This window comes from Homo sapiens, chromosome 12, assembly GCF_000001405.40.
Source record: "Homo sapiens chromosome 12, GRCh38.p14 Primary Assembly".
NCBI lineage: Eukaryota > Metazoa > Chordata > Mammalia > Primates > Hominidae > Homo > Homo sapiens.
Genome location: NC_000012.12, coordinates 100,735,541 through 100,748,010, shown reverse-complemented (window position 1 = coordinate 100,748,010; position 12,470 = coordinate 100,735,541). Strand labels below are relative to the sequence as shown.

Here is a 12,470-nt window from a genome sequence, read left to right as displayed (position 1 = left end):
GGTAAAAGCTAGACTCCTGGGAAGTGATCTGGAACAGAAGATAGTCATTTCTCAACTCCTTTCCTGATGAGGAACATATTTGTAAAGTCCATAAGGAATGTTTGGAATTCATTAGTATTGTTTGTTTGTTTGCTTTTAAGACAGAGTTATGCTCTTGTCACCCAGGCTGGAGTGCAGTGGTGCAATCTCGAATCACTGCAACCTTCACCTCCCGGGTTCAAGTGATTCTCCTGCCTCAGCCTCCCAGGTAGCTGGGACTACAGGCACATGCCACCACACCCAGCTAATTTTTGTATTTTTAGTAGAGACAGGGTTTCACCATCTTGGCCAAGGTGATCTCGAACTCCTGACCTTGTGATCCACCCACCTTGGCCTCCCAAAGTACTGGGATTACAGGCGTGAGCCACCACACCCAGCCTAGTGTTCTTTTTTAGAAACACAATCCCACCAGAAGACCACTAAAGGGAAGATGGTGAGGCCGGAGAAGGAGGGCACAAGGCAAAGGGAAGAGTTCTCAATGATTCCTGCTTATGGAAATGCAGGGAGATTACCAATGGTCTTGAACACATACAGAGGAGGTTTGATTCATGACATAATTTCACAGAGAGGTGGGGTGTAGGGAAGCAGGCAGGGCAAGTGTCAAAGGTGTTACCTGTAGTCTTAAGGGGGAAAAAAATCTTCCTCTTTGGAAAAAAATTCCCCCCATGTTTTTGATTAGAGTATGGTTGGCAAAAGGCCCTTGCTAAAATAGGATCAAATGCATTAAAACCCATGAACCCATTATCAATGATTAGGGTACCAGACTTCTGCCACTAAGCAGAGCTTCAGAGAACAGGATCAGACTTTGGTGTAAGTCAGTGGTTCTCAACTGGGGGTGATTTCGCCTGCAAACATATATTTGGCAATGTCTGAAAACTTTTTTCAGATATCACAACTGACGTCTGTTGGGTGCAGGCCAGGGATGCTGCTAAACATCCTACAATGCACAAAACAACCCCCACAGCTAAGAATTATTCAGCCCAAAATGTCCACGGCACCAAGGTTGAGAAACTGGTATTAGCAAAAAAGAAAGGCCTAGGTGCAGCATGAGATACAATTTAGGGAGAGTTAAAGAACACAGAAACCTGAGAAAGGGGAAATCAAAGGTGCTAATCATACTTCACCAAGCACAGCCCTAGGAGAGAAACGAGAGCCCTGGGAATGCCCTAAAGGAGGGGACCCATTGCAAGGGCAAGGTACTACACACAGGACAAGAAACACCCAGGGAGGAAGGAGAGTTAAGAATTGACAGTGAACATGGGACAATGAGTTAGGGACCACGTCTTGTGCATGTAGGATGTTTAGCAGTATCCCTGGTGTCCACCCACTAGATGCCTGTGATACCTCCTGCCAAGTTGTGTCAACCAAAAATATCTGCAGACATTGCCAAATGTCCCCTGTGAAACAACATCATCCCTGCTTGAGAAATCATTCTTCTAAGTGGGATCTTTTGAATTTTTATATACATATTTTTCTTATTATTTCATCGTTTCTTCTAGATTCAAGATCATTCTTTTTAATAACAGAGTCTCACTTTGTTGCTCAGGCTGGAGTGCAGCGGCACCAACTCAGCTCACTGCAGCCTCCGCCTGCCGGGTTCAAGCAATTCTTATGCCTCAATTTCCCAAAGAGCTAGGATTACAGGTGCATGACACCACGCCCAGCTAATTTTTGTATTTTAGTAGAGATGGGGTTTCACCATGTTGACCAGGCTGGTCTTGAACTCCTGACCTCAGGTGATCTGCCTGCCTCAGCCTCCCAAAATGCTAGGATTACAGGCGTGAGCCACCATGCCCAGCCAAGACCCTTCTTTTCTAAACTAGGTTGTTTAGTCATTCTTTCAGGAGGTGTGCATAGAATACATTTTTCCCAGTCTTTTTCCAAATAATTTCTTATGCTGACCTCCCTCTCCAGTGATCACTTAGCTGTATCTGGAATTCTGAATTGACCTTCGTTTCCTTCAGCACTTTGAAGATATCAAGCTGCTGTTTTCCAGCCTCTATCATTACTACTTGAAAGTCTATCCACAATTTGTTTCTCACTTGCAGGTAATGTGTCTTTTCTCTCAGGTTATTTCTAAGATGTTTCTGATTTTTGCTGACTCACCATACATTTACATATGGATATATTTTTATTTATTCTACTTGGCACTCATCATGTTTCTTACATCAAAGAATTTGTGTCTCCTCATCAATTCTGGGGAAACTTTCAGTCATTGCCTTTTTAAATATTCCTCATATATATACATTCTATTATCTTAAAGCAGGACAGAATTTCTATTAAATGGATGTTGAACTTTTTCATTCTGCTTTCTACATTTCAACCTTCTCCTTCTTGTTTTTGTATCTCATATATCTCTGTACTGATAATGGGGTAATTTCTTCAGCTCTATCTTCCAGGCCTAGTTCTCTCTTCAACTGTGTCTAATATGCAGTTTCAATGGTCATAGAAAACATACTTCTTACATGCCAAGCTCTGCACTGAGCGAACAAGTACATGATCAAAACATTAATTCCTAACTCAAGAACTTTATTTACGTCTATTATGGTAGCCATATGAAAAAACTGTATTGGAGTACAATAAGAGCAAAATTAAATCTGTGCATAAGAATTGCCAGTGGAAACAGAAAGAATAACAAAATATGCTGAGGCAAAAAGGGAAAGAATTCACAAACTCTTAATTGAGTTTGAAGAATAAGAATATTCTAGGAGAAGAATGTAAGGAAAGGTATCAAAGTAGATGGCACAGATGTGCAAAATCATGAGCTTTTAGGGAACAGTAAAGAATCAAGTGTAAGTACTATGCTGACACATCTGTACAGAGCGGTGAGACATGCTGGAGAGTCAGTTAAAATTAGTTAGGAAGGCCCTTACGTACCTGTACCCTGTATGAAGTGTTTAGACTTTATTCTATTATGGAGAAGCAACAGAGATTTTCAAGTGGAGGGCAGGAGGAGGTGGAAAAAGAGGAAGAAAAGGTGGGAGAGGGAGGGAGAGAGAAAGAGCAAAAGAGAGAAGGGGAGAGAGAGGAAGGGAGAGACAGAAAGTGAGGGGGAGTGAGGGAAAGGAGGGAGAGAGATGAATTGGGAAAGCTAAACTATGGTCATGGAAGAATTAAGATTCAGGAAGACTTGTAACAAGACTGCTAGCAGCACTAGTCTAAGGAGAGATAGTGAGAGCTTGAGCAGAAATAATGTCAGTAGGGATGGAGACGAAGCTTTGAAGTAGCAATATTTCTAAAATAGACATAATTAATAAGTTAGCCAGCTGGCTGTGGAGGCTGATGGCCAGCAGAAGGTTAAGCATGAGGGGGTTAACCCAAAACACTGGATTAGGACTGTGGATGATGCAATTAATTGAATGTTTGTGTCTCTCCAAAATTCATATGTTGGAATCCTAATTCCAGCGTGATGGCATTTGAAGGTAGGGACTTTGGGAGGTGATTAGGTTATGAGGGTGGAGCCCTCATAAATGGGATTAGTGCCCTTATAATAAGAAGCCAGAGGGCCAGCTCGCTCTCATTCTATCCTGTGAGGGTACAGTGAGAAGACCAGCCAGCTAGAAACCATGAAGACAGCCCTCACCAGACGCCAAATCGGTCAGTGCCCTAATCTTGGACTTCCTAGCCTCTTTTTTTTCTTTTCTGTGAGAAAGAAACGTTTGTTGTTTAAGCCACCCAGTTGTATATTTGCTATGGCAGTCCAACTAACACAATGAGACTATGCCAGCATTAAATAGAATAATAAATTCAACTTTGAGAGCTACCAGAAGGAAGTTCCATTCGGGATATATAAGTTTTGATAGTATGGGATATATCCGGGTTGAAAGTTCCAGTAGGCACTTATAAATACACATGTAAAACTTGTCAGAGAAATCAGACATGAAAATATGGCTTTGGGGGCATCAGTATGCAGCTGGGGATTGGATAGAAAGGAATGGAGTGATTGAGGATCAGCTGGGGATATAGGAATGACTAGAAAGAGAAGTTGTGAGGCGGAGGTGGTAGTGGTGATGGAAGTTACAAATCTTGGTTATCAAAAATTGCATGTTAACATGGACACACAGAAGGGAACAACAGACACCAAGGCCTACTTGAGGGTGGAGGTTGGGAGGAGGGTGAGGATTAAAAAACTACCTATGAGGTACTGTGCTCACTACCTGGGTGATTAAATAATTTGTATAACAAACCCAAGCGAAATGCAATTTGGCCATGTAGCAAACCTGCACGTGTACTCCCAAACCTAAAATAAAAATTGGAAGGAAATAAAGTGACAATAGTTTTACTCTTTTTCTATGACACTTACTAAGCAAGAAGGAGTTATTTCCATTTTAATTTTTAAAATACCTTTCATGCCTTATTTTTGTCCTCAAAATATTTCTTGATTTAACCAGAATTCTTACAGTATATCCCAAAGTCCAGTATCTAGTAGCAACTTTTTGAAGTGTAAAGTTTCTAATTACTTTTCTCTTAAACCAAAGCTTATAAATTATTTGTAATGAATTTAATATCAATTGAATACTATCATCATTTACTTTTTTAAAAATTGTGTGTCAAACCTACTAAAAGTATCTGAGATAGAGATCATTTCCAAGCTTTCCTCCTATGGTTGTCTCAAATTTACCTTCTTTTAATTGAAGAAATAATTTAATAATATATTCTGCATTCAGTGTATTTGTACTAATATTTTAGATATATATTTTAAAATATTTTAATACTATTAGTATTTTAATAATATATTAATTAAATAATTTAAAACAAAAACATATGTGATCACGTCTTGTGAAATCATCTATCTTAACACCACACTGAATCAGAATGCTTGCCTTACTTGTCTGCCTCCTCCACTAGACTCTGAGCTCCTGAGATAGAGGTGATGCCTTACTTAATTTTCTCTCCCAAGGACTTATCACAATACATAACATGGAGTGGTAACTTAGTGTATATTGGATGGATGAATGGGTGAGTGGATGGATGGATAGATGGATGGACCAAGCTGGACACTGGAAACAGTTTTTCTGTCATAAGGAAGAACTACATTCAGGACCACTATGCAGTTTCACAAGTTGTTCACTGCACAAGGTGACAAGCAGGGTTAAGTAAAGTCTAATACAAGAGAATCTACTATAGAAGTTAGTCACACAATGAAGGGAAAGAATGATGGAATAGGATGGTGACAATAGCGAACACAGCTAAATAAAATGAGAGCTCAAGAAGCTCTAGTCATTTAGTTAGTGTTCTGCTATTAAGCATTCTTTCTAGGACTGCAGAATGGTGGGATTTATAAAATGGAAAAATGATTTTATAATGTGTTTGGGAAATTCTTAAACATAAGAAAATTCTCACAATCCATGAATAATTGTATAGTTATATTGTGCCTAAAACTTGTCAGCTCCTCTATATCAGTCCAAAAGTTTATAGAGAAGAGAGATAGCTTAGAATTGTGAAGGGATGTCTGGCAAAGTCTGGAATTTGTAGGGTATCCTAGTATAGCTGAACTGACTTATCTCACCTCAGAGTTTTCTTTTAACTAGCAAAAGAAGCAAAAAATTAAGTATAAATGAGTAATAAAACTGTATTTTTTAAACAAAATGAAATTAACTTTATTCTTTAAAACACAAATAAAAAGAAAGGAAACTATAAGCTTTCACACAAAAATACATATTAAAATCAACAATTTGTTCTAAAAAATCAAATAAATGTAATAATTGGCCTACACATAGTCATTGTCGAGACTTACAAAAACTATACCAGCATCTATAACTTTCTATGATAAAATGATTATCACATGCTTGTGTAGTATATATTTGGATGTCCAGGCTTACTTTGTTAGGATACTAATAGTAAGAATAATAATAAGCAGTTGCTTGGAACAAATCAATATTTTATTGCTAATGGAAAGTCCCCAGGAATGAAGAGAATTATAGGCTTTTGTTTGTGAAAACCTCCAAGTTAAACACAGAAACCTTTATCCAAAAATCAGATTGACTCTGAGTATAGTGCTCTATGGAGGAGAAAAAAAGTCAACTAAGGGAACCATGATAAAATGTTAATCTGGCAGCTGCCATTTCACACCCCTCTTTGCCAAAAAATGCCATAAGCTTTCAGCTACCCTGGGTTAATATATAAAGGAGGTACTTTATATATTAACTTCTGATTTTATTAAACTAAAGCAAGAAGAGTCAGCTTTCCTTCACAATAAAAGCAAAACCCAGAAAATTTTAAACTTACTATACAGAAACATTTTCAAGCCCCAGATAGTGATTTCTTTCCGCTGTCAAACTGACCTTCAACAAGGACAGTCAGAAAGATGATTACTTTTGCCATGTGCAGAACTGATGGTATGCAAATGTTCCCCAGTGCTCTTCATTACCAATCCCTGATATTTCAATTCAGCCATTTGACTAAAGAGCCTTTGGAGGGGGTCCTCCAGGTATGTTTGTGAACCGCAGGAATCAAAATCCCAGGAAGGAAAAGCCTGCCAAATGCAGATTGCTGAAGCTCACCCTGTGCCATGGACACAGCATCCCCTGGGGTAAGACCCAGGAATCTTCATTTTTAACAAGTGCAGTGCTGATTCTTAACCTTTAGTGAAGTCTGCAATCTACTGCTTTAAAGATTAGTTTTGATAATCTGGAACTTCTGCAACCTCAGCATCTTACCTCTAGGTGGCAGCATCTATAAATTGTTGAGTGTCGTGGTATCCCAACATTCAAAGATTTATTTCCAGAACCAGAATTACACATTGGATTTGGCTGACTAAACCATTACCTCTAAGTGCTGTATCTATAGAAGGAAAACATGGCAGGATAGATTTTGCATAATTTAAACCTCCAACTCAGATTTTAGAAATAAAAACAATTAACTGGCCATCCTTGCATGGCCATTTCTGCAGCTATTTCCAGTGTGATATAAGCGATAAATTTTAAGGCAGGATGTTGTAAGCATTCTTCTTGCCCTGACTGTTTAACTCATGACTTCCAAGGATCACATAGATCAGCAGTCAGCAAACATTTTCTATAAAGGGCCAGATAATAAATATTTCAGCGTTTGCAAGAGTACAATTACTCAACTCTGCCACTGTTATGTGAAAACAGCCATAGACAATACAGAAATGAATCAGTGTGGCTGTGTCCCAGGAAAACCTTATATATAAATACTGAAATGTGAATTTTATGTAACTTTCATGTGTATCAAAATATTGTTTAAAAACTTTTTTTCCAACCATTTAAAAATGTAAAAACTATTCTTAGTTCTCGGGCTGTACAAAAACAGGTAGCCAGCCAGATTTGGCAGTAGTTTGCAGACCCCTGAAATAGATCAATTTGGTGGAGCAACATGAATTGATATTAACTACGGTATTCAAAGATGACTTTTTGATGACTTTTTTGAATACACGAGTTTAGTCCAAGATAGATATCTTGTCACTAAATAGAGCATTCAATAAATTAAAGCCATATGACATATCTTGAAATTCTGATTCAGAGTTGATTTCTAGATAACATTTTACCAAACAGAACTAGCACTTAGGTCAAATATTTCTATACACATTCAACCTTCCTTCTGGTATAGCAAAGCTATTAAAGGCCAGTGAGAGCTGGGCATGGTGGTGTGCGTGCCTGTAGTCCCAGCTACTCAGGAGGCTGAGGTGGGAGGGATTGCTTGAGGCCAGGAGTTCGATACCAGCCTGGACAACAAAGTGAGACCCCATCTCATTAAAAAGAAAAGCCAGTATGAACATAGAGGTATTGTTGGGGTCCATCATATCACACAAGCAGAAATACAAATGCAATTTATTCAGCAGGCAAATGCATGAAGGAATCTTATACACACCCAGTCCCGAATCTCCAACAGGAAGCCAACACTTACCTGTTGTGTCTTGACTCAGGGTTTCCTGGCTGCTACTGCTGTAAGAAGGCACTGGAGTGATAGACAGTGAGGCTGGACAGGACAAAGGTGTGGCCTGGTCAGTCTTGCGGGTGAAGGATCGGTGGTACACAGGGATGCCTGCATCTTTGGAGACGAAGAGAGGCAGATCTGATGGGAGGGTTGGTCTGCCTTGTACGTATGGATTTTTCCAGTGGGTAAGCCCAATTGCCACAGGCCCCGCAACGTCATAACCTGGTGAGATAAACATATTAGGTGAGTGGCAGCAATCAAAGCCATATAGTGTGCTTATTTTCATACTTCCCCAAAATCTTAGCTGTTAGTCAAACCAAATACCATTTGAGCTAAGAATGCATGTTCATAATAAACAGGCAGGCATCATCCCTCTTGATGGCTCTTGTTCACTTAATCAACTTATGTTTATTAAGCGCATGCTAAGTGCCCACTCTGCCTTCAAGGAGCTCAGAGTCCAATCAATAAAGGAAATAAGACCTGTGTTCATAATAAAAAAAATTACTTAAGGCCTACTATAAGATAGAAACTGCAGAACTGATCTAGAATCCTCACAGCAATTGTACAAGGGGACTATCACAATTTCAGTTTTACAGATGAGAAAACTGGATCTCAACCTGGCCTACATCAAGTTCCAGAGGCAGAACTTCAGCACAGATTTGACTCCAAAATCTATGTTCTTTCCCATAAACTACAACTAACTACAGTACAAAGCAAGATGAAAGAAACCATTTTAAAGTAGATCAGAAACTGCTCCTCAGGAGTTCAGGGGAGGGAGGCTTTCTAGGGATAGGGTCTGAGACATGGGGAAGGTAACATGAATTTGGACAAACCTGGGGAATATTATGCTAAGTGAAATAACAGAAAATAAGTTTATGATCTCACTTATACACAAAATTTTTACATATATAAACTTTTATATATATATAAATTATAAGGATTAATTTACATTAAATTATAAAGATTTTATATATATACAAATTATATATACATAAAGATTTAGATATATATAAAGATTTAGATATATATATAAAGATTTAGAGATTATATATATATAAAGATTTAGATATATATAAACAAAGAGTGGACCGGTGATTACCAGGAGCAAGGAGGATCAGAAGACGTAAGTAAAAAAGTACCAAGTTGTAATTAAGTTATGTAATATGAATAAGTCTAGAGATTTAATATACAGCATGAGAACTAGAGTTAATAACTTCATCTTGTGTGAACTGGAAATTTGCTAACAGTAGATTTTAGGTGCTCTTACCACACACATGTTAAAAAAGGTAACTGTGATATGATGGTCATGTCAAGTTGCTTGACTGTAGTAATCATTTCACTATGTATACCAAGACATTATGTTGTGCACCTTAAATATATGCGGTTAAATATATAAATATATAGTATCTGATTCATCATAAACACTTAATAAATAAATATATGTTCTTTTTCCAAAAAAATAAAAAGTCTCTAAGGAACTCTGGACTCTCTAAGATTTCAGGTTTTAGCATTTCTTATATAAAATTATAGCTAATTTATAGCATATATTTAATTTTGAAAAAATATAGTTCACACAGCTAACAAGTCTTTTTTGTTTAGGAAATTTCTACATCATTTACTCTGAAAATGGAGTTCATTAGCAAATATTTTAATCTGCATTATTGATATAAACGAGCTATGACAAGATCTGCATAATTATGATGGAATATAAATAGATGAGTCTCAATTTAAAAGCAACAATGAAGCCACAGTATTTTGAAGAGACAACCATCCAAGAGAACAGCTGATACCCACGGGGCAAAGAATAGAAATGTCACATTGGCAGCATTGATAGCCTGCTCATCCTCCCTCACCCACCATCATGTCCCCTCTTGGGGAGGGAGGCAGGAATAGGGGTCTCAATTCCCACTGAACCCAAAATTGTGAAGAAAGAGAAAGAACACCCCAAATTGTAAGCTGTCTTGAGAAAAAATAATGTTAACTATGTGGTTCTTAAATCTCTCATACATGGCTAAAATGGGAATTTATCTAGAAAATAAGGAGCTAATCGAGTATCTCATGGATAAACAGAATAGTTTTAGGAGGAGTCTTTCTTCTGTTCCCTGGATTTTTTGACCCCCCTGCTTTGGGCAAGACATAGGTTCATCTAGGAACCACATTACTAGGAAATCCACACATATGCTATTTTCCTAAATGGAACACCCTCACAAATGTGACACTTCTGTGTGAGATGACTATTCTGTAAGAGAAGGACTGAAGTACAAGAAATGAAAGAAAACAAAGGAGATTTTAGAAAACACCTCTTGGATGATCCATAGATCTGTCCTCCCTCTAGTGCTTTGAGTCTAAGGTTGTAAAGTATTTTTGTTCTTACTATAAATATTGCAAAAGTGCTTTGCACTGGACAGACTGTGAGCAGTGGATATTGCCCATTGCCTATGCAGAATCATTCCCCTCCTCCCTCCCAACAGAGCCACGACTTCATTTGGGAATCTGTCCCACCCCACACAGCCTTGTGACCCAGGACACAAGGCTCCTTCCCATCCTCATCCCTGTCCAAAAGCCTCAGGTGGGCCTGATAGGGCCAAAGATAATGCCATCTCCCTTGTCAATGATTGGCTCAAGGATGGGGTCTTGGGACGCAGACCTGCCTAGTGAGATAGGAGGAGTCTGTCAAGGAGCTGCAGGGGAAAGTTTCTCAGCTCCTAGAGCAATGGCCTGAGGAGGGCACCAAAACTTCTTACCCTGTGATCATTGTCAGGTCTGAATGCAATTCCTGAAACCCTGCAGCCATGTGGCTGCCACCATGAAGATAAATTGAGAGAGGAAGGCACAGGGGAGAAGGCCTTTCACAATGTCACTGAGCAGCCTAATCAACCCATCCTAAAGACGGGCCTGCCTCTGGTGTCCCTGTTATGTGAAATAATAAATTTCCTATCGTTTCAGCCAATTTGAGCCAGGGAACTGAAGCAGTATTCAAGAGCCTTCTTGTTACACTGGCACCTTCTGGGAAGATTAAGCATCTGTCATACCTACCTCCCCTTCAGAGGTTAGTTTTCTAGGGCTGCTGTGACAAAGTACCACAAACTGGGTGGCTTAAAACAACAGAAATTTATTCTCTCATGGTTCTGGGGGCTGCGAGTCCAAAATAAGGTGTCAGCAGGGCTGTGCTATCTCTGAAGGCTCTAGAGGAGAATCTGTTCCATGCCTCTCTCCAGGCTTCTGGTGTTGCCAGAAATCCCAGGGTATTCCTTGGCTTGGAGATGCATCACTCATATCTCTGCCTCTGCCATCACACAGCTCTCTCTGTATGGTCTCTGTGTCTCTTCCCTTCTTATAAGGACACTAGTCACATTGGAGTAGGGCCCACCCTAGTCCAGATGACCTCATCTTAACTTAACTACACCTGCAAAGACCCTATTTCCAAATACAGTCACAATCACAGGTACTGGGGATTCGAACTTCAAAGTACCTTTTTGGGGGATACATTTCAACCCAACACCCTGACATGGTAGCTAAAGCTGACTGGACCAGGGAAGGCCACTTGGCCCAAGTCTGCAAGATGTCAGGTAACAAGAGTGTCATCCAATAGGAGCCCAATGACCTGGGCTCAAATTGCAGCTCTTACTCTCATATGTCCTCAGGCAATTCTTTACCCTCTCAGGGACTCCATCTCCTCATTTATAAAATGGGGGAAAATATCACTGTTTACCTCAGGATCTTTTTGAGGATTAAATGAGTAAATACAGAAAAAGTAGTTAGAACACAGTGCTTGGCAAAAAGAAAGCTCCCCAAAGTGTTTGTTAGCTACTGAATCATCCTCACACTATCTACCCCTCCATTTTCATTGAAAAAAGCACCTTAAAAGAGAATTCTCTACTCACAGCCCTCCTCTCCCTTTTCAGAGCTCTGCAACGTGGCTCCCATCCCGCCACCCACTCACGTGGCTCTCACGATGTCACCAAGGCAGACTTTAATTTTCAACCTCCTCAGTCTGTCCTAGAAATTCTCTGGGCTTTCCAAGAAAGGTGCTTGCTTGGTTCTCCTACCTCTGTCATTATTTCTACCCTCACCGTGCTTCCCCCAAAGATTGGTCCTTGGTCCTCCAAACACACACAACGTACTAATTCTCACTCTTATTATCTCATCTTCTTCCAAAGATTTGACTGAACTCTCTGTGCAGATAGTGCCAATATCTTCATCTCCTGAACATGTTCTCCATATTTCTAATTTTCCGTGAGGCATTCTGACGTGAGAAGTCTCACGGGCACATCAAATCAACACATCTAACCTATCACCATCACATCCTCCCTCTTCCTGACTTCCACATTCCTGGGAACAGCTCAGACTCTGTCACCCTGATGCAAAATCTCAGGGAACACTTACTATCCCCATATCCAGCCAATGACTAGTCCTGCCAGCAATTCCATCCCTCTCCCCCTAGACCCGCCTCTTCATCCCACCTCCCTAGTTGATTTCTGTCTCATGTCAAGACCACAGTCACAGCCACTAACTCTGTTACAACACCAGATTCT

At 39.6% G+C, this 12,470-nt stretch overlaps 1 protein-coding gene across 11 annotated transcripts in view; it reads right to left on the bottom strand.

Annotated features, from left to right (window-relative positions):
- ANO4 (anoctamin 4) overlaps positions 1 to 12,470 on the bottom strand; it is a 411,381-nt gene that overhangs the window by 380,631 nt on the left and 18,280 nt on the right. For all 11 annotated transcript variants that reach the window (XM_011537912.3, XM_011537911.3, XM_047428302.1 and 8 more), the window contains exon 3: positions 7,906 to 8,157. In XM_011537912.3, the coding sequence (XP_011536214.2) occupies positions 7,906 to 8,157 (252 nt within the window). The remainder of the gene's footprint in view (positions 1 to 7,905; positions 8,158 to 12,470) is intronic.